General features: G+C 34.4%; 1 protein-coding gene across 8 annotated transcripts in view; it reads right to left on the bottom strand.

Moving 5' to 3' along the window:
• Positions 1-24225, bottom strand: part of FOXP2 (forkhead box P2) — a 607439-nt gene that overhangs the window by 117634 nt on the left and 465580 nt on the right. For 3 of the 8 annotated variants that reach the window (NR_033766.2, NM_148898.4, NM_001172767.2), the window contains one exon: positions 5251-5325. The exons of the other annotated variants lie outside the window; for them this stretch is intronic. Coding sequence is in view for 2 of the 3 variants with exons in the window: in NM_148898.4 (NP_683696.2) it covers positions 5251-5325 (75 nt within the window). In the remaining variant the exon portion in view is untranslated. The remainder of the gene's footprint in view (positions 1-5250; positions 5326-24225) is intronic. 8 annotated transcript variants of the gene reach the window in all.

Genomic DNA, 24225 nt, shown 5'->3' with positions numbered 1-24225 from the left:
CTTTATGGAATTAACAAAACAATCTATAACATAAGTGTTTGAAACATTTCATTATCTTAAGTTTATTTCTTACTGAAGGGCCATAGTATGAATACCATCATAATAATCAATAAAACCTACTCAAAAATAAACACAGTAAAACAATGAATTCAAGTGTACACCACACATCTTTTTACAAATGTATACAGTATTTTATAAAATACTGTAAACAGCTTTTATAAAAAGGGTACTGTGAAAAAAATTACTGCAACATTATCCTTGGTTAATTGTTTTCAGCATGTTAGTTAAAACTGTCAACACTGATAAGTAGTAATTTATCTTTAACTTCAGGTTACTCTCTGCTAATATGTTTATAATATAGGAAGGAAGAAAAAAGTAGAGGCAATTCAACATTGCTGCATGTATTTCCTAACTTTGTATCTTCATGTGCTTTAGCTGGATACAGACAATTGGGGGACAATCACTTTTCCTTACGTATTTTAGCTATGATTCTTCTTGGCTGCCAGGCATCATTTAGGTCTGGTGAGGCAGAGTTCTGTCTCTTCCACTTAGCTGTCTTCCACTTAACAAGTCAGAAAGCATTTGGAGAACACTATTTTTTGTGTGAGTGAACAAGTCAGTATTCAACTTAAATCGATTAATATAAAGACTCCTCTCAGTGGATAACACTGCCATCTGTCTTGGCCGTGACCCAAGGTACAATGTCCAATGCCCCTTTTAGTGTTAATACCAAAAATACACTTAAATTTACATCCAACAGAATTGACTCTTTCATCCAAGCAAGAGTATATTGATGCTATTACAGATACTGACTCAACATCTATTGCATGTTTACTATGTGTTAGTCATTATGGTAAGTACTTTTTAGGGTTATCATATTTAATTCCCGTTACCACCTTATGAGGTAGGTAGTATTATTGTTATAATTTTACAGACTGAGAACGTGAAGCAAAGCAAAGTTAAGAAACTGGCCCAGTTATCAAACCAGAAAGCTGATTGTAGAGCCCACAGGGTGGATTATTTGGTGTTGTGTAGGATTTATGTAAAGCCTCAAGAGAGAGATGAATTTGGAACACAAATAAAAAGATATTTTAAAAAGCATCACTATCCCTGTTTTCTTATTTCTTCCAACCCAGCATCCCCATTAAAAATGAACCATTCAGGAGATAAACATAGTAAAGACCTGTAGGGAGAAAGATCAAATGTGGCCAGTGTAATTTAATTTGAATGGAAAATAAAGCAGTTATACCAAGGCTAGGCAAGTTTCATTTTCAGATTATAGGTACAAGACATTTTGTTCATCAAAAGATTCATCTGGCTCAATGCTAAAGGTTTTAAAAATAAGAGCCAAAGACAAAGACCCTAAGCATTCCACATAATTGCCTTCGCAGTTAGAACTAACTGGCAGAATCCTATGTAAAACAGTATTCACTTAGGTGTAAAAACCTGTAGGCAACACTAACAATAAGATTACTTGCAGATAGGTGTTAATGAGGTCATTCAGGCAGATGAGGTGCCAACAGGGTATAGTTAGAGAGTAGTGAATGAACTTGGGTTACTATCTTGTAAGGAAGCCAAAGATTGTGAAATTTAGAATCTTGGCAGAGTTACTCATTTGTAAAGCTGTTTGATAAATCAGGAAAAAAAGAAAGGCATGTATCCTAGTACCGAAGTTTGAAAGAAAAGTAAAATAAGTGAAGATTTTTTTTTTCAGATTAAACTAGACACTATTTGAAAAAACTGAATGTGAAAAGCAAGCATTGAAAAGTATTCTCTAACAATGAAGCTCTCTTCCTCTTATACCCTCGTTTTTTAAAGCCAGAAATTAATGCTTTTTTATCTATTAAATTCAAAGTTATAATAAGGACATTATATTGTTACTCTTAGAATAGTGAATATACAATCGAAGGAGCCCAAATATTTCTTCAAATACAACAAGTAGATAAAATTTAGAATCACAATTTTCACATAAAGATAAGTGCATACAATTACTGCCCAGTATTGCAATGAATTGATAGAGGCACATTAAATATAATTTATTAGTGAGTACATTAAAATATCACTACTGTTCAACAATGTAATAGAGAGGTACAATACTCAGGGGATGGCCAATGTTTGATGGTTATCAATAAGCCAAGACACCAGAAAAAACCCTATGAAAAAATATTTTTATTGCACGTTTTGCTAGTAAATTGATACAATTATATCTGAAAAAGGATGGTATAATGAAGAGCTTTTGACCCCTGTTTAATATCAAATATGTAATATTATTTCCTTGAGATAATTTGGGCTTTAACCTTCATTTGGTAATGTAAGTTGTTTTCTCTCCCTGCAATTTTTGGCACTTTACTTTAGGCTTGTTAATAAAATTAAGGGATTTTTATTTTTTAAGTGAATTAGGTGTGATAGGAAGAGTAAAAATTAATTTAATCCACCAATTTGGAACATGTGCCTGAAAATTTTGGCTTGTATGTGTGTGTGTGAAGGCTGATCAACCACAGAAATAATATGTGTGACATTAAATTAACACTTTGATAGGCATTATGTAGGGTCTCTTAACATTTGAAAACTATTGTAATAATTCACAATTTATTATAAATGTTAGTTACATAGTGATGAAAACATATGGCAGGCTTTAGGTACCCCATCTATCTTTTTGACCTCTTTCTTCCTTTTAGCCCACCAGTACTCTTACGGTGTTCCAGACTACCACTCTGGCATATTGGTACTTATAAATGCAATGAATACTAAAACAGAACCATGTCCATCACATAGCAATTGTCAATTATGAATAATATAGTATTTTTTCTGGTTAGTATATTGATTTTAAATCACATTATGTAGCCATTTTAGCATGCTGAAGTTTATATATAAGGTAATCAATAAAGGAAAATAAGCAGTTAATATTACTTAAATAAGATTTCCCTTGTGTTGTGAAGTCAAGAAGCCCCATTTGTAAAGTCACTCAATGACCAAGATGAAGTATGAAATTGGCACACTACAGAGATTGCAAAGATCTGATGGCAAATGCACTGCTATGCTCCTCCTTTCCCACCAGCCATACCAGACCTCACTAACTCATACTGGTGCTCTTTCTATCTGAGAGATGAGATGCAGTCTCAGACACATGGAAGAACCTCAGACTTCTACTTAACACTGCATTCAAAGCAGCCAAGAACAATTTGGGATACCTTTGGAAAGACCAATACACTGGTCATCACAAACTTGGGCAACAAATTCAGCTTTACCATTGAGAAATTACATGGCCTCTGGTGAATCATTTCACTTCTTCATGTCTCATTTTCATTCTGAAAATATGTCAGTGAAAATATAAACTTTTGATGCTATAGATTTCTTTTCTCTCATCAGTAGAACAGAGATTTGTTTTAAATGGTAAAAGTAGTTTTAGATAAAGAGCAAACACTATTAGCAGTTAAGCCACCTCACTCTTCAGTTTAACGAAAACAATTTTTCCATTGGGATTATTTTAGGAAAAAGTGTTACTAATTAGGAAAACTGTCCCATTTTTAATGCACTATTTTTAAAAGTAATTTTAAGTTAATTTTCTTTATTAAGTTAAAGAATATAATTGCACTTGATGTTTACCTAAAATTTATCTTCCTTTAAAATATACAGAGAATACTTAGAAATTAAGATTATTTTAATCTTTCACATAAACTTAATTACATCATATCAGCAAAACTTACCAAAATTTTTAAATTTTTGCTATTTTTCTTTCAAATGTTGTTACAAAAAAGCTTAGGGGGACCAAATACTATAGGATTAAAGTGAATGAGGCCACAAACCAGGTAATTTCAGGTCTCTCTGAAGCCAGCATATATAACATTTATTACCCATCCTTGACATTCATTATTTCTTTTTTTTTTGACATTTACCATTTCTATAGAATAGGATATGTTATTGCTGCTTCCACTTTTGAGTTTATTTTGTATTGCAACTAACATTTTTAAAAGTTTCATATTTTCCATAAATATCCTTTCATTAATTTGACACTATTTTTATTGAAAACATTTTCTGTCTTTTTAACCAAAGTATGAAATTAGATATTTCTTCTTCATTCAGGAAGACATTGATTGTATATGAGTATTAATTTTGTTGTTGTTCGCCAATTATAATTAGGAAATATTATGTATAGAGTAGTAAAAAGTAAATAAATTTTGGCTGAGTCAATTTAGAAATACTCTAGCCCATTGAGCCTAAATAAATACATCAGTTCTTAAGGAAACAAGCAAAAGTTGTGTATAGTAGTCCTTCGGTATGTGTAGGGGATTGGACACACATAGATACCAAAATCCATAATTGCCCAAGTCCCTTATATAAAATGATGTACTATTTACATATAACCTATGCACATCCTCCTGTATACTTTAAATAATCTCTAGCTCACTTATAATACTTAATGTAAAATAAATGCTGTATAAACAGTTGTTACAATGTTTTCTTTGGGGAATAATGATAAGGAAGAAAAATGTATGAAAATTTTCGGTACAGATGCAACCATCCATTTTTTCCCCAACTATTTTGGATCTGTGGTTGGTTGAATCCACAGATACAGAACCCATGACTGTGAAGCGCTGACTATATGTGAAAATACATGACTTATATGTTTCAAGATTTCTTAAGAATGCAGGTAGAATCTATGCTCAATAGAAACATGAAGTTGCTTTATTTAAAAATTCTTGAATGGAGACTTGAGGATTACTATCCATTTCCAAGGATAACTGCTATGTGAATTGGGCCACATAAGCAATTTTCACCAAATATTACAGTCCAAAGTGACAAGTTACACTCTAGTGGCAGAATGTTTAAAAGGCCTTGGTATATTTATATGACAACTTGAAGAACATGGAACAGCAATTTTGTTCTAAAATATGTGTTGAATCAACTCATTATCTATGCCCATTTATTTTCTGCATATCAACACTCCCTCATCAAATTATTCCTAAAAGTTCAAGAAAAGTATAGTGGTGTTAAAGCCTTTATATATTTAAGGTAGTCAACTCACAGAAACTGTGAAATGTATATCTAGTGAAACATAACTGAATTGAGAACAAAAGAAGCAAGAGAAAATCAACTAATTACATCTGTATCTTAACATTATTTGTATCTTGATTATCTGCACCAATGGAAGGGATTGGCTATAGAAAATCACATATAATCTATTTAGTGGGACTGGGTCCATGGCCTTGTGCCTAGTAGCTGAATTTCTAATTGCCCAGTGTAACTTACTGCAAATGTGTTGTGAGGATGCCCATCACCAGAAGAGTGGCCACAGATACATAATTTTGTTTCTGGAAGCAATTCCTAGGTTAAACAAAGAGAATCAGGAGTTGGCTTTTTTTTCAATCTTAAGGCTTGTGCTAATAACGTACATTATCATTTTTAAAAATCATTTTTTGGAATTATTATCTTGGTAGGTCAAAATAGGGAAGAATATTCCATCATTGTCTCACAGTTAACCAGTATAGATTTTAAAAATAGAAATAATTTGGCAGATGGGAAGTTGAATATTTGGACCATAATAAATTAACCCATAACCAAAAAATCCACTGATTATGTACCATGATACTGCTGTAGGAACCTTACTTCCCACTTGTAAGCTAAGAATCATAAATACTCCTATATATTTAAATGACACTGCAATTTTGGTGTATGGGATGTTATTTGTTCTTAAAATGTAATCATCAATAATTTTGAAAAAGCAAACCTCTGACTTGTAATCAATTGTAACCAGTACAAATGAACATAAATCCTGTCCTACCATGTCATGTGAGAACAATCACAATAATTTATTTAAATAAACTGCTGTGGTTATGCATTATTATATAAAAATTATTGCCACTAAAATGTATCTAAGACTATGCAACCAACCTCCATAATATCTGTTAAAACCTGTTGAATTGTACCATTTGCATTGAAAACTACTCTATATACTCAAATGTATAGTTTGCATTTTTATCTGTAAAAGCAAAGTGATTATTTATTGATAAATGACATGGAATGTCATTTTTTACCTAAGTAGCATTAGACATTTCAAAGATTTTGTCTGAAGGGCAAAAGGATTACACTGCATTTGAATAGACCATGTGACAACACATCCTTAGACTTCATGTATGATATGAAAGGATGATCCCCATTCATAAGATACACAAGGGAAATTATAACTATACCAGAAAAGAAGAAAAGCAAGGAGGGATGTGTTAAGGGTGTCAGGGAGTATTTGTAGTGGTTTGATGCATGTAAATATTACATCTTATAAATAATTCTTTTCAAATACATCTATGAAGTTCAGAGGTTATGTTTAAGAAATGGATTGTATATGCTTTACATGACTACATGCCATTTTCTTGAAGATAAGAGCAACATTAATTCAAACAGGAAAAATGGCTTCCAAAATATCCTTTTCCCTCTGTTTCTTAGGAAGAAGTATGTCACCTGATGCTAGCAGATGAAGACTGGGGGGAAATTGTTCAAGTTGTATTTTGCTGCCAGAATTCAACAAATACATTTTCATCTAAATTATTTTGTCAACAGCCTTGTGCTACTCTTGCTAACCTTATTTGGCACCAGTGCATAATTAGATACACAGGGGTGTGACTCCAATTGAAGGTGTTGGCATTGTAGCACTCTGTGAAAATATTAACTATGAGGTTAACTCCAATTTTCTCTTCTTTAATTAAATGCACATGGTACTAATGAGGTAACCTACTGTTCCTTGATAGCACTAATTAGCTAAGAGGAGAGTACACTCTCACACTGCAATTTAAACCTAAAAATAAGGTTGAAATATGCTAATTGCAGGCAATTTAAAACAGTACAAGTTGAAGAACTAGTCATAATAAGAGAAACTGACTGCTTTACAGCTAGGCAGCTGTAACTTTCGTTAAAATCAAAACAAGCCACACGATTTTTGGACTGCTATTTAACAAGGTCATAAGCATCCTTAAAAAATGAAATGCTATTCCATACCATAACAATAAACCATACTAACACTAATAAAGCCCACAGATAGACGCTCATTTACATAAAAAATAAGTGATTGTCACAATAACTCCAAATCTGCCGTGACACTGTTTATATTTAATACTGAAAATTAAACTCTATAAATAAGCAACACCACCTTAAATTATTTCACAAGCACCTATGTTAAATAAAATATCATAATTTGTGTCTCCAGCATTAACAAAACATGTTGGGATCCTGGAGTTTTGTCATCCCAGTCAGGTCAGAAGGTGATACAAGAATAAGTCTCACTCCTGGAGGAGTACATAAACAGGAAATATTGAGATAATGTACAAGTACAGTAATAAAAATAAATAAAAATACTATGGAATAAAAGCATACAGTTAATGCTACTGATCCCTTAAACATAAACATCCCTTAAATGGTAATTTAAGGGATACAGGTGCCAAAATATTAGAAGGATTTCATTAAAAAAGAGGTTTTCATTAGAATTCGTCTAGTTTTGTAGCTTTGGGATGGAAGCTGCCTGAGGCTTCACCGTGAGAATGTTCCCCATTTTTAGCTCAACTGACTCAGAAACATAATTTCATAAACCTAACCATATTTCAAACATATCTTCTTTAGTTACTATCTCAAATATTTCCCAAATTTTAACGAAACGATAACCTTGACAAAAAACAAACAAACAAAAACAAAACAAAATAACCCCCCCCCAAAAAAAAACCCACAAGACCATGAAGAACCTTTTCATTCATCCACAATGATATATTTGGATTGGTACACAGTATATACTCATTATTTTTCGATTCCCTAAAATCTATGATATATCTTATTTTTATCAACCAGAAACACTGACTAACCAAAACACTCCTATCAAATTATTCCTGCTAACATAGAGAGAAATAAAGCATATTAAAATGATACTGTCATTAATCTATCCATAGGAACAAGAGACACAGAACTGCCACCGACACTGAGGGCTCATAGTGACATTTCTCTGTCCCTGTCACTCTGCATGCAAAATTATGAAACATAACAGTTAAACAATCAATAAAAATAAAGAGTTAAAAGGCAAAATTTGTGAAAAGAGAAAGTCAAATTAATCTAAACTTTACTGAAGAACAATAACTTAGAAGTAAAATAATCTATTGAAAGGCAAATGCTTTTAAGTAACTCTCAATAGTTTCTGCAACTGAAAGTATGTGAGAATAAACTTTGCACTATCATTAGCCCATCATCATATCTTGCCAACAGGTTTGGTTGAAGAAATTGTGCTTTGAAAACCCCACCCAGTTTCTTCTCATGGCTTCCCTAAAGCTTTCTATGACAGGCAGAGACAGAATGTTGGTAAGAGATGCAATAAAACTCTGATCAACCATGCTTTAACAGAACCATGAAGCCGCAGGTTTGTAAAGAAGTAGCAAGATGAATAAAATCAGACAGTCATTTAGAAATGGATCTCCGGGAGGCAACCTGACATAACTCCAGCAAATCACAAGGAAACACAATGTGAATGGATATTTTAAGTGTTTGCATCTGTTTCTAATAAGCACCAAAGAATCTTTTAAGAGTGAAAAGGCCACACAATGTACTGGAATGGACTTTCAACATTAACTTCAGAAGGAATCTATTCTTCAATTAAATGTGAATCATTGTAATTTTTCTTTTAAAACAATAAAGAGTAAGTCATTTAGTGCTGAACATAAGAATGCTGGCTCTGGAGATAGTATGCTGAGCTTCAGATCTTACACTTAATAGTGGTGTGACCTTGAGCAAAATACTTAGCTTCTCCTGTCCTCTCTCTCTAGACAGAGGATAATAAGTAACATCATCATATGGTTATTAAATATGTTCAATTGTAAAGTAATTAGAACAGTGCTGATACCCATATACTTAACATTTATTAGCTATATACTTATTTGTTAGCTGTCATTATTGCTTCAAAATAGTACTCAATTTTCAGATAAAAAGAATTATTGTTTCTACTATGTATAAAATGCTATTACATATTATAAAGGTTACAAAAATTCCCAAGACATTGTATCTGTCTTCAACTTATCAGTAGACTTCATGATACATACTAAAGACTCTCCTATATGAGTAAAGAAATATTTTTTTCCTTTTAGAAACCTGGTGCAGCAAAGCAAGACGTTAATATAGGTGTGTTCATATTTAGTGATAAGGTGAAATGACTTGTAAGAAAAATAATATTTTTTGCAAGGTTGATGAAGTGTAATTTTCATACAAAAATATATAATATATACATGGTATTAATATTATATATTGATCTTTCCTAACAAATGAAAATATTTTAAATTATTTAATATAACTTGTTTCTTGAGGTTGGTTGAAAGGATCCTCAAATTTTTCTTTAACATGTTTAAAACTTTAGTGTCTTATAATATTTAGGATAAAATAATATCTGAATGGAATAGTGGTTGTCTTAGTACATTTATGTTGCTGTAAAGGAATACATGAGGCTGAGTAATTTATAAGGAAAAGAGGTTTATTTGGCTCATAGTTTTGCACGCTGTACAAGAAGCATGGTGCTGGCATCTGCATCTGGTGAGGGCCTCAAGTGGCTTCCACTCATAGCAGAAGGGGAAGGGGAAACACGTGTGTAGAAATCACGTGGTGAGAGAGGAAACAAGAGTGAAGGAGGTGCCAGACTCTTTTTTACAACCAGCTCTGTGGGAACTAGTAGAGTGAGAGATCACTCACCATCACAAGGATGGCACCAAGACATTCATGAGGAATCCACTCTCATGACCCAAACACCTCCCGTGAGGCCCCACCTCCAACACTGGGGGTCAAATTTCAACATGAGATTTGGAGGAAAAATATCCAAGCTATAGGAGTGGTCTACATTTTAAAAGTGAAAAAATGAAAACATCAATGTTCAGCTAGTCAAGAAGTATGAACATTCTTCACGTTATAAAACAAATCAAACTTTAAAACAATAACAAAAACAAATGGTTGATTTGCCTTTCTGCCCCTCCAACTGTTTTGTTGTGTTTGCTGATTTGATGGCTTGTTTTTAGGACATCCATCATATCTGATGGAAACTGTCCCAGGGACAATGTAGCTATTGGGTTGTGCCAGGATAACACATTTTAGCTTTGCAAATTCATACAACTTCATCCTTCTCCAGTCCATTTCTGAAAAACAAATTTTAAATTGCCTAGGTCAGACAGAGAAGATGAAGAAAAGAGAAATCATACTTGAAAACTGTCTTGAGTATTCCACAAGACAAGTGGATCACAGAAGTTGTTCTCTTGTTTGGAGTCAGTCAACAAGAACCAGAGATTACGTATCTCAGAGGACCAAATCTAAGTAAGTGCATGCCTAAAAAATTTTCATTCTTTATTCTGATATAGTTAGCCTTGTCTTACTTTCTTTTGTGACACAGACTCCAAGACCTGTACAACATTGAGAAGATGGTGGTGTGGACTGAGGAAGGAAAGGAAGTCCAGGGAGATAAAATTATTTGTAAAAAGTTATGCTTTTATTTACTTATTTTGAGGCTACTGTGTATCACATATCTGACTATACAGGTTCCCAAACTTAAGCATGTAAAATAATCTTTGGAGAAGCTTGTTATGATTGTGTATTCCAGGCTACTTTCCTAGAGATTCAGATTCATAAGATCTGGTATAGCGTCCAGGGATATGCATTTTAACAAGCATCTTGATTATTGTGGTTTAGAAGGTCTATGATCATACTTTGAGAAATATTGCCCTCTGTTCAGGATATTTGCATGACAGGTATTTTTTCCTTCTTTTAGTCCATTATTCACTTAGTCAACACTTTTCAGTACCTACTATGAGCTATAAACTATATTAGCCATGTGGATATAAAAAGGTGAATGAAAATGGTCCCTCCATCCAAAGGAGATTGGAAAATAAAAAAAGTCTTGTAAATTAGGATACAACAACATAAGTGCCATTTGCATGGACTCCTGATTTTTTTTTTGTTTTTCTTTTTTGTATCTGAACCTCTTTGGCAATCTGATAAAATCTAGAATAGCCTTCTCAGAAAAAAAAAAAATTGGTTGCATACAATAAAATAAGGCATTAGAAAAAAGAGAATTATATTGAGATTCAGTTCTCAAAATATTTAAAAAGCTACATTTGTGAAATATTAATGCTATTTATTAATGAATTAAATAAGATATAATAGTATATTTAATGAATTAATAAGATATAACAACCACCACAATTTTGAGTAATGGGCACAAATAACATTTCTAGATTTTTTTTTTTTTTTTTTGACAGGGCCTTGCTCTGTTGCCAAGGCTGGAGTGCAGTGGAGCAATCTTGGCTCACTGCAGCATCCACCACTTAGGATCAAGTAATCCTCTCACCTCAGTCTCCTGAGTAGCTGGGACTACAAGTGCATACCACCATGCTCACCTAATTTTCTTTGATTTTTGTAGAGACAGGGTCTCACTATATACTCCAGGCTGGTCTTGAACTCCTGGGCTCAAGTGATCCTCCCACCTCGGCCTCCCAAAGTGCTGAGATTATAGGTATGAGCCACTACACCTGGTCATATTTCTAGATATTTTTTATCAACTGTGATGAGATAGGAATATTTTTATAATTTCTATCACTGACAATGTCACAGATACTGTTAACAATACTGTGGTGTGTTGCCTACATTCCTATGAATATGTTGAGTTTCAATTGGGAATAAAAATAAGAATACTTTTTCTTCCATTAAAGTTCATAAACCTCCTGAATTCTATCCATGGATCCTAAGTTTTAAAGCCCCCATATTAGAGAGAAATGCATTGCTGAAGACGTAAAAAGTACAGTTTGACCATATTGAAAGAAGGCATTTTCTAGCTGGCTCCCAAGAAATGAGTAGGAATTCATTGCTTGGGAAAAAGAAGTAAAAAAAAACAGAAAGGGAGAATGCAAAAGGTTTAGGATTATGCCGACAATATGTGATAGTTTTGGTAGGAGTATGCTATAAATGGGGCCAGCTGCTGAGAGACAAGGCTAGAAAGATTAGGACTACGAAGAGTTTTGCAGATCAGGAATTAGTAGTGTTTTTTGTTTGTTTGTTTGTATGTTTGTTTTTTGACAAGTAGAAAGCATGAGGGTGTGGGTTCAGACTGGAATTGGCTGGCAGCCTAAGATTCCCAAAGATTCATTAGACAGTTACTTCTGGTAAGTGCCAAAGCAGTAGCAGTTACATGAAAAAAGGATACCCAATTTGAGGACCAGCTAACTTCTAAGGATTTGACGATTACCTGAGTGAGAGAGTAAAGGATAAGGGACGTTGGAAGCAGACTGTGATGCCACTAGAAAGACAGTAGAAACAAAGACGATTTTTCAAGAATGAAAGAGAATTTGGTTCATTTGGAAATAGTAAATGAGAAGTTGACTACTGAACATCTAGGTAGGTGTTTCTGGAAGACTTCTGGCTATACAAGACTTAAGTTCAGGTGACAAGACAAGAAATATAAAGCCCTGAGAATCAGCAACTTATGTAGTGGTAATACCACAGGGAGTGGATAAGTTCTGGCAGTGAGGTCATCTAAAGGAGTAGTTCTCAGCCCACCTTGTGGGTCAGCATCACACGCAGAGCTCTGTATATATAATGATGGTGGCATTCAACTTCCTGATTTAACTGGGCTTGGTGGAGACCAGGCATTTTAACAAATAAACATCCCAAGTAATGACAATATGCAGCCAGAGTTTTTGGACCACTGATATAAAAGTTAACAAAAAAAGTTGTAGGCAGGAGATGGGGAAAAGACAACAAAACACAAAGAAGAGGAATGTTAAGAGAAGTTGTATCAAAAGTCTCAAATGTTTTGACAGGATCTACTAAGGTAAGAATTGAATTCAACTCTCTGAAGTGGTCAGTCATATTCAATAGAACTATTTCAGAAAGGTAGTGATGTGGTTTGGCTATGTCCCTACCCAAATCTCATCTTGAATTGTAGTTCCCTTAATCCCCATGTGTCATGGGAGGGACCTGGTGGGAGGTAACTGAATCATGGGGGCAGGTATTTCCCATACTGTTCTCATGACAGTGAATAAGTCTCAAGAGATCTGATGGTTTTATAAAAGGGAGTGTCCCTGCACATGCTCTCTTCCCTGCTGCTATGTAAGATGTGCCTTTACTCCTCCTCTTCCTTCCACCATGATTGTGAGGCCTCCCCAGCCATGTGGAACTGTGAGTCCATTAAATCTCTTTTGCTTTGTAAGTTACCCAGTCTCAGGTATGTCTTTACTAGCAGCGTGAGGACAGAGTAATACAGGTAGTAAGGAAAGAAAACAAGGTATAATGTGTCAAAAAAGGAATGGAAGATAAGTGTAAACAATTCTTTCTAATGGCCTAATGATGAAGAAAAAAAAAACAGGGTTAAGATAATTGTCTGATATAAAACTAATATGGACATATGAATGTGATTTTGTTTAATTGGTTTTTGTTTTTAAAGGTGGGAAGGGAAGGCACACAGAGAAATGGGAGACTGAAGACATAGGAATGAAGACGTGCAGCTGACAAGACAAGGTTCTGGAAGAGGTGGAAAGGGGTAGGTATCATGCACAGGAAGAGAAATTGGCCTTGGAGAGAAATCTCATTATGATACAAAGGGATATAATCAGAGATGCTAATATAAGTTTGTTTTGGGAGTAGAGATGAGAGAGGCAGAGGGAGTTCTTGCCTGGTGGCCTCTAAATTTTTTCTCTGAAGTAGAAGGTGAAGTCACTGACAACAGGGAAACAGGTGTGACTTAAGTGCTTTAAGGGTACAGTGAAGGCTAGAAACTGATGCAGGGAGAGAGGCAGAGTAAGGTGTCTAGAGACTTGTGAAACAATTGCTAAACATCAGTGAACACTAGCCTAAAGTCAGAGAACCAATACTGCCTGATATTGTGATTCTCTATAGGAATACTCAGTAGCTTGCTTAGGAGTAGGAATAAGAAAAGCCACAGCTTGGGAAATGGAAGAACAAATGCTGCAGCAGGGTCAGAAAGGATGATTCAGAATAGTGAAAGTGTTTAAGGTCATCCTTAATCATGGGATACAACATGATCAGGAAGAAGTCCAGGTGGGTGGAGGTGGTGGTGGGCTATATGTGGGAATAACAAGAGAGTATGGTGCAAGAGAACATAGTGCGCAGAATGGGAATTCCTTAGGTCCACCAATTCAAAGTGATTTTAAAGAACCGGTCCAAGTTAGACATGGTGGCCCATGTCTGTAATCCCAGCACTCTGGGAAGCTGAGGTAGGAGAATGACTTGAGCCCAGGAGTTAGAAGCTGTTGTAAACTATGATCATGCTACTGCACTCCAGCATGGGCTATAGAGAAAGACCATGTCTCAAAAAACAAACAAACAAAACCCAACACCAAAAACAACAAAAAAGATAGGTCCAAGGTCATGGAGAACATTTTTAAAGGAATCGATTCATGAATGTTTATAATTTTTATGTTTGTTTTCTTCATGGATTAGTGTAAAGTTTTAAAAGCAGTATATTTTCTTTTACCTGTTAAGTACACGCGTGACAGGTGCCATTCATTGCTAACAAACTCAACATGAAGATCCAAATTTACAAAATTAAATAAGAGATTACTATTTCCTTAAGAGAAGAAATTATTCAAATTAAAAGAGTAGTTTAGACAGTATTTATTTAAATAAAAGGCAAACTTCTTTAAAATACATTTGATTTTTTAATAATCTTTAGGAAGATACTGCATAGATTGAGGTATAATTGCATAAATTAGTGAGTCTTCACACACAAATACATTACTTGGTGCTATTGTCCAGTAGTTTTCTATTGTCTTGAGTTTCCTTGGTGTTGAAAGAGTAAAATTCTTCGAGAAAAAAAAATTGATATTAAAACAAGGCTGCAGTCTAGTAGCAAACCAACTCAAAGTTAACATAGACGAAATCTGTTGATATTGCCTACCCAGCATATACTTCTCTATTTGTTAATAGCACCATTTTTTTCTTTGGGGACTACCTTAATTCTGTACCCAATTACATGCAAATTGGTGGGACCGGCCCAAGGGCGGGTGATACAAGTTAGGCCAATTAAATTCCCTCTCCCAAGAACTTGATTTTTGAGGTATGTGACATGTGCATAATAAACAACAGGATTTCATCGAATCCAGTGACAGGTATGCAAGCAGCCTATTAGATTCTGCTCTGCTTTTTGCTCCTTCTGAGACCAGATTTTTGCTTAGCTTTGCCTTGTATTTTGTAAGCAACTCTATATCCTTTGAATAAAGTCTACTATTATTTTTTAAAGATCTCTGTGACTTGAAATCAAAGTTAAAATTAACAAGATAAATTTAATATACATATTTCAGTCAATAATCATACTGTCAAAATTAGGATTAAATGTTAATAGCTTTTTGGACGAATTTTGGGTTACAATCCATTTATATGGAACAGACCAAAGATAAGACTAAAAGTCATGATCTTGCCCTCATTTTTCATTGTTTGCAAACTTAAGTGAAGTAATTAAAAATTGCTATTATAATTTCAGTTCTTTTTTTTGGCGGAGGCGGGGGAACAGGGTCTTGCTCTGTCACCCAGGCTGGTGTGCAGTGGCACAATCTCAACTCACTGCAACTGCTGCCTCCTGAGCTCAAGCAATTCTTGTGCCTCTGCCTCCCAAGTAGTTGAGATTATAGGTGTGTGCCACCATGCCTGGCTAATTTTTTAGTATTTTTAGTATTTTTAACATTTTTAGGTTTCCCTATGTTGGCCAGGCTGGTCTCAAACTCCTGGCCTCAGGGGATCCACCCGCCTCTGCATCCCAAAGTGCTGGGATTACAGGTGTGAGACACTGCACCTGGCCATAATTTCACTTTTATAAATATATTCTTCCATCCCTAAAATATCAGCTTGTATAATCAGACTTTACATTGTACAAAGCACAACTTAATATGTAAAAACGGCAAAATAAAACTTGGGGTTAAATACAAGATAGCAACACAGCACAGTTTATTAATGGGTGTTTGCATATTTTATTTTTATCATAATTTAACACTATATACTCATTCCACTTTTCTTCTTTAATGGATTCTAAATTTAAAATAACACTTTTCTTTTTATTAAAAGAAAGGCTAGCTTAACAAAGAAAGTTTAGTGGCAGCCACTGTCCCAATGCAGATACCATAGGTATTTGAAGGATTTGAGATTTTAAAGTACTTCATATTAACCTATTAAATCCATTGACGTTCCTAAAGTAAGATTTTAAATTAATTTTAAAATGAGATTTTTTTTTTTTTTTAAGATGGAATCTTGCTCTGTCGCCCAGGCTGGAGTGCAGTGGCACGATATTGGCTCACTGCAAGCTCTGCCTGCCAGGTTCACGCCATTCTCCTGACTCAGCCTCCTGAGTAGCTGGGACTACAGGCGCCGGCCACCACGCCTGGCTAATTTTTTTGTGGTGTTTTTTTTAGTAGAGACGGGGTTTCACCGTGTTAGCCAGTATGGTCTCGATCTCCTGACCTCGTGATCTGCCCGCCTTGGCCTCCCAAAGTGCTGGGATTACAGGCGTGAGCCACCGCGCCCAGCCAAAATAAGATAGTTTAAGATTAAAAAGGAATTAACAAGAGTTACAGAATATAACAGTGTCAAGTTCAGATTTTTCACCCTGTTTTTAGTCAATCCCCTTCTTTTTCACTTCAAAAAGCTGCTATCATAGCTGGCACTAATTGGCACCCTTGTTAGAAATCGCAGTAGAGAAGCCAATAACAGAAAGAGGATATGGACACCTCTTATCCAGAATCCAGGCTGTCTCCACAGATAGGTAAGGCTGAAATCAAGGAAAGGGCAGATGACATGGCTGTTGTCTGTGAGCAGGCTAAGATCTACACCTGTTCACTGTGTACATATACAACTTGAATTTGCAGGAATGCTAATCAAGTATCTTTCATGTGTCTAAAATCACTGAAAAACAAAAGATGTGCATAGTGCTCCTGTAAGTGATATAGTTATTATATTTTGAGAGAGCATGAGGGCAGCAGTCAACAGGTGCTTCTGACATGAGATATCCCTGCAGAGTACTTATGGACTACTGCATTTTTGTTTACTTGTATGCATGTTTGCTTTATTCAAGAGTTTAAGCGTTTTTGAAAAAAAATAGGTAGCTGGATTTCTTATGAACATTTGGAGAGTGAAAGAAAAAAATTTAACATATATAATAATTATTTAATAGACAAAACAAACAGATTTAATGTATACATTGCCATCTCAGTTCTGTGGGACACTACAGAACACCAACCACTAGGTTAAGAATCAGCTGCAAAGTCAAGTAGGAGCCACTAACCTCAAGAATGCACAGACGAATCAGGAAGGCAAACTATTAGTGATGAGTTTCATATTAAGTATTATACTATGACAGACGTATGCACTGGTGAAAAGGAAGCATAGAGAAAGGGTTCTTACAGGGCAGATGAGATAATAAAGGACTCTAGGTAAGAATAAATGGACATTAGTATACAAATGGAGACGGGGTGGGGTAAAGATGAAGAACATTTAAGACTAAAGAAGTAGACATCATAAAGGCTTGAAGGTGTCTGACCCCCTGATGTATTCTGAGAAGCAGAGACAGTCCCATAAAGTCAAACAAATTAATTTTAGGGAAGAAGGGTGGTAGGGTAGGGTTGGGGACAGAAAGAGAAGCAAAAACCAGCTCTTCAAGAGCCCCATATAAAGCAAAGTGGCTTTTGTGAACTTCAGATTTCTCATTTTTGTGTACACCACCTGTCTTTTCTCTTGGAGGATAAATGAAAGTTCAAATACATAAAAAGATTTCTGACATATCTGGAGTCCTATTAGTGTTATCCTCAAGAAGTAACTATGAAGAATGCAGAATGAGACAAGATACTGTTTTAAATAAAGATTTAATGGTAATTTCTTGATGGCAAGCAATAACTTTTTGTTTCTATAAACTCTACCTCCTCTTTCTTCCAGTTGATACCCCATGACTTCATACGTGTTTTATTACTTAATATTCTTTCTTAGATTCCTCAAATACACTAGTAATCTCTAGTATATTAAAAGTCAGGGCTGGGTGCAGTGCCTCACGCCTGTAATCCCAGCACTTTGGGAGGCCAAGGTGGGTGGATCACGAGGTCAGGAGTTCAAGACCAGCCTGGCCAAGATGGTGAAACCCCATCTCTACTAAAAATACAAAAATTAGCCAGGTGTGGTGGTGGGCACCTGTAATCCCAGCTACTTGGGAGGCTGACACAGAGAACTGCTTGAACCCGGGAGGCAGAGGTTACAGTGAGCTGAGATCGGGCCACTGCACACCAGCCTGGGCGACAGAGCAGGACTCCATCTCTAAATAAATAAATAAATAAATAAATAAATAAATAAATAAAGTCAGTTCAGTGTCAAAATTCTTGTTGCAAAATTCTGCTTTTGAGAACAGAAGAGTACTACAATATAACTTATCTGAATTGCATTGCCATTAGAGATACAAAAATAAATTTTGTAGTACCAAGCATAAAGTAAGAAAATAATTTGACATGGTAGTACATTTTCATTTGTAGGAAAGTTTTGTGATAAACTGAATAAGAAAATTTTGAAAACAATCTTAACTCAATTTTATAATGCAGCACTAATTAGGAAGTGAAATCGACATTTTAAAATTTGGGAGTCAGAAAAAAATACTTCTTATTATATTTAACATGAATATTGCCCCTTTCTTTCCTATTTAGAGCATTCAGAGCATAATTTCACAGATGATATATATTTGTCTTAATGCGATTTTCAGACTACATCTAATGGAAAATGCCTGGTTAGGATTAAGAGACATAGTACAGATGTAAAACTACATTTGCATGCAATTATTTCTAAAACAAATGCCAGGGTACAGAATCTACTGAAATGGCTTTCAGGATGGCTGGCACAACATATTAAACCAGCTTCCAATCTCTGAGTAAGTCTATATTCTGAATATTTCAAATCAAGACACTGAGCACAGAACAACCTTAGATTTTCCACCTTGACTCATTGTCCAACAATGTATGAAAACAGGGTTTGAGCCCAAGAATTTAATGTAGAGATTTATTAATTTTCAAGCAAAAGTCTTTCTTGCTTAATGTAAAAACTGTATTTTACATATTAATTTCAAGAAATGAAAAATAAAATTACTAAAAAAAGGAAAATAATATAGTAGGCAGAATAAAACAGCATAGTAACAGAGTAGATGTATTATATAGCATTTAGCTTGTTTTACAGTTTTTTCAAAAAACAATACAAAAGATCTTTAAAGTTACTAATTTTTTCTTAATAGAAATCTCACTGTATCTGATATTCTTATAGAGATATACTTTTAAGCAATAAACTAGAAAAAACTATTCAAAATAATTCTGAAGTGCATTTGTTGTGAACTTAATCAGAAAGCTTATCAGCATCAATAAATGCTGTGCTTATATAGGGTATTATGCTTTCATAGAAGAACTGACCATGGATGTCCTCAGAGTTTGTGGATGAGGCAAACCCTTTAATTACTTTTTGGTGGTCTTTTCCATTGGAATGTATTTTTGGATTAGAACTTGATTCAATGAATGAAGCATGAAGATTCACTGCAATATCTATTATATGTAAAGAAAAACACTATCATATTATAATTTTTTTCCAAATTCACAAAGTACCAGCATCTCTTTTACTGTATGCTTTACTCCTTAGGGGGGAGCAATTCAGATTATGATCACCCCTAGGAATGTATGCAGGGACTGGAGGATGTGGTAGTTCCTTTTCTGATCCCTGCAGGGGAAGCAGCAGCAGCCCTTGGATCAGCTTCTGCTTATCTGGTGTTGGTCTCAGTGGCAGCTCCTTTTCTTGCCAATAAGGATAAATGAGGAATAGAGACTGCATGTAGCATATACAGAAGCTTATCTTGTTGGCATCTCTGATTATGATTTGGTCCCTATAAGCCTCTTACCCCTCCTCATTTTGATGTGATGTAGGGGGAAGAAACCTGGAGGAAGAGGACTAGTGATTTAAAAACTAAAACTCCAGCAAAAAACTTCTTACCATTTGACATGAAAATTCTCATGATGCCAAGAAAACTCCAGTAGTAGTAGTCCATCACTGCCATTTGCTTTTTCTTTCATATTAAAAGTTATCTCATATATTGCTGAGTAAACATCTAATTTCATTACCAAGTCCACTGCCATGTCAGCAGTGGTTCCTGACAGGTAGAGATGAGGGAGGTATAGAAGACAAGGGAATAAAGAGATTCAGAGTCATTCCTGTAGAATCTTCTATTCGTAGTGATGATGGAGATCCCCTCCATGGTGGAGCCATGTAACTTTCATCCCTTCCTTTTCTCTATCTTTTTGTTTGTTTTTTTGTTTGTTTGTTTTTGAGACAGTCTTGCTCTGTTGCCCAGGCTGGAGTGCAGTGGTGTATTCTTGGCTCACTGTAACCTCCACCTCCTGGGTTCAAGTGACTCTCCTGCCTCAGCCTCCCGTGTAGCTGGGATGACAGGCATGTAACACCACACCTGGCTAATTTTTGTATTTTTAGTAGAGACGGGGTTTCACCATGTTGGTCAGGCTGGTCTCGAACTCCTGACCTCAGGTGATCTGCCCGCCTCAGTCTCCCAAAGTGCTGAGATTACAGGCATGAGCCACTGTGCCCAGCCCCTTTGCTCTATCTTAACCACAAAACAATATACCTGGGTTTCATAAAATGAAGACATTCAAGAAAAGATAATATTCACATGTAATACCTTGTCATCCCCTTGTCATTACTTTGATCTCATTTTCTAAAAATGAAAATGAAAAACCTGAACAGCAACTAAGAGGCACTATATTATCTGTAACAAAGGAGTAAAAGGCACATGGTTTCGAATCAGACTGACTTGAATTCACTTCCAGCTCAAACTACCAGCTACTTGACTGTAGATAATGTAATTTAACCTTTCTAAGCCTCAGGTGCCTATTCTGTGAAATGAAAGAGCATAAATAAATACATTACCAGGTACACAAAGTAAGCACTAAATATATGCTACCAAAGCAAATTAAAATTATAAATGCTTCAGGATCTCTGTTTTATTAGAGAAAAAAGTATTAAAAAAGTAATGGGAACATCTGACTTGTGAAACCTCTCTGGTTGATTCCTTGGTCTTCTTTTTCGCTGGCCCTAGTCACGCATGTAGATATGATGACTCATACTACTTGTCATTAAAGAGCCTAGAAGACTAGCCAGGGACTAAGAGGAAGCCCTTTTTTAGATACACGTGTCTGAATCCTGACATTAGGCAATCACAAAATCATCATACAGATACGTGGATGAACTAGTAGTAAAACGCAAAACACCAAAATTAGAATTTAAGCATTTTTAACATTAAAATACTATTGAAAGTAACTAGATGCTATGAAAAAAAATTAGTATTAAAATAAATGTAATGCAATTTCTGGAAAGAACTTAATTTATTGACAGTTTAGATCTATAAAGATGAAAAGCTAATATGAGTTCTAAATTAGAAAATATGTTAGGAGATCAAAAGCTATCATTGTAATCACTACCTACCACAATAAAAGAAAATAGTAGTCCAGAATCAACTTAAATTTTCAAAAAATCATAATGATTATACACATACTAAAAATAATACAGAATTGTCATTTTTACATATAAATAAGTTTACTGGGAAAGAAAATGTCAAATTTTAGAACTGTGTTACTATTAGAAATTACTCATTTCTAAGGCAGAACCAAGTTTCATTAGCCAATAGCTGCTCTGAAGAATAAAGCTAATTTACATTTAAAATAGAAGTACAGTCTACTCTTTAAAAGCACAATGGTAAACACACCAATTTGACAATTACATTAATATGAGTATTTGCATAATCTGTTTTCTACACCTGTTCTTAATTTGAAGCAGCTGCAAGACAAATCATATCACACTAATCTGAAAGGGCATTTGGATGTTCCAAACAGTAATCCATACATCTAATGTTTTGAAGATATTTTATTTTTTAAATGTTTCCTGACCCTAAAAATGGTAAAAATTTTTAGAAGCCATATTTAAAATTTGGTTAATATTAAAGAGGAATAAGCATAATACCAAATAATGCTATCCCTTACATTTTTGGTATCCTCTGTTATTGACATAATAATAGAGATTTTTATTTCTAGAGGTTTTTAAGTAATATGTATTTTGTTTATATGAAAAAGATTTAAAAGCACAATAAAAATATACCTAGAAAACATCAATAAGGAATGCAATCAGATGATCAATAGCAAATCCATTAATGAAGAACAGAGCAAAATTCTATAGATTATCTGAAAGTGTGTTTGCAGCATAGATCATTGTGGTATCTTTTTGATATTTCCTTTTTCAAAACTGGATTCCATTTATGTTTAGCAAATATTTCAAAATTTAATAAACAGAACTTTACTTTCATCTTTTAAAGGATCCAGCTTGTTTTTATGTGTATTCAAACACATACTCAGAGCTATCAAAAGGAAGTCAGTTTATTATTGTTACATATTCTTCTAGTTCATATACTTAAATTATTCAGCTAGATTCTAGCTGGTGGAATATAAGATGTAATCTGTCAACAAAACTGTCTCTCTTTAATCTTCTATTGTGAAAAGAAAATGAAGTTATAGATTTCTAAAGATGTTATTTATTTCTTGAAAAATTAATGAGAGCATGTACATTAATGAACTGGAGCAACAAAGGAAGTCAATGTGTTTAAGTGATGTTGAAGTCTGAAGAGGTAAACATTAAATGGCTGAATTCTTAGTTCAGTATTTCATTCAGAATTTTATTTTTACAAGAGCTCAGATAGTATGTGAAAAATAAAATACTAAACAAAATAATTGAAGTTTACATTTCTAAGACATTTTCATGTATATTATGCAGCAATCCTCATCACGTAAGAGAAAACTGAGGCTCAGGAGAGTTAAAGAACTTGCCAAGTGCTCGCATTTTGTAACAGGTTAAGACTTGGGTATCCTAACTCCAGCTCTATATTCGTTTCCATAACTCACTGATGTTTGTTTGAATGAAGAGCAGCTATTACAATAAATAAATAGGATCAAGGGTTTTTCCTAAAATACTTTGTCAGTTTTTTTTTAATTTCACAGTATCTAAAATGCTTCCACACATGGCTTCAAACATACTAGGGAAATACTGTTTCAAAAGTGACTGGGAGAGAGAACTATTTTCTATTTAGATAAATGTATTGCAATCTCTTACCAAGAACAGACTGGTTACTCTAGGAGTATAAAAACAATTTTTATTACTATATAATTTAGGCGATAAAGCTAAGTTATAGTGATTGTGAGAAAAGCAATTTTCACAGTCCTGACCTCTATATAATTATATTTCTAAATATTCCTTATTTTATTTTTCTTCATTAAAAACCTTACATATATAATTGAACACACAGAAAAGTACTCTAAACAGATAAGCTGGCATGTCATAGGGGTATGTGGAACATAATGGAATAACGTATGTAATGAATATGGACATTGTATTATATCCAACAACAAATTTCACTTTTTCTTCGAGTATCAGAATATTTTAACCTGAATAAATGAGTAATAAACTTCCAACTTTTAAAATAATCTTGCTTCTTCTTGTTTTTGCTGATAAGGGGAAAACTAACTCATTATCAAAGTTAAAACTTTTGGCATATAACACATAAAAAAGGATAATTTTTTGTAAATATATGTTACTGAGAAGGTATACTCTTTTACTATAATAAAGCATTGAGATAACAAAATTTTAGAGCTTGAGTCACGTCTTCCCAGTTGACAGAAAAAGGCAATGAGGCGATAGAACCGAATTGCCCTCCTGAAGGTCATACAGTCAGTAAATGGTGGAGTCAAACCTTGAACCCAGTGCCTCTCCCAAATAGCACAGAGGCTTATCTCTTACCTTTATTATAAAGCATGAAGGGAATACCAGCAGGTCATTTAAAAGATGTTCTTGCTTTTCCATGGTCCTAAAGTAAGCTATACCCTAAACATCAATCTCACATTTAAAAATAGCTACAAAATATGAAACTACATACATTTCTAGCCTGGCTTGATGATCCCTCATGAATGTACGCACAAATTCTGATAACATCAATGTAAAATATGTGTTAACAGTATCAGTGGGAGGTTGAAGTTCAAGTGAATTTCAATTCTTCATAGTTTTCTGTATTGCCTGGATTATTTTTGAAAGCACATATTGTTTTGTTAATCACTAGAAATAAGGCTATTTTCAAATAGAACAAAGAACAGTAGTTATAAA

Source organism: Homo sapiens, chromosome 7, assembly GCF_000001405.40.
Source record: "Homo sapiens chromosome 7, GRCh38.p14 Primary Assembly".
Taxonomy (NCBI): domain Eukaryota; kingdom Metazoa; phylum Chordata; class Mammalia; order Primates; family Hominidae; genus Homo; species Homo sapiens.
This window is presented reverse-complemented; position numbering and strand designations above follow the sequence as displayed.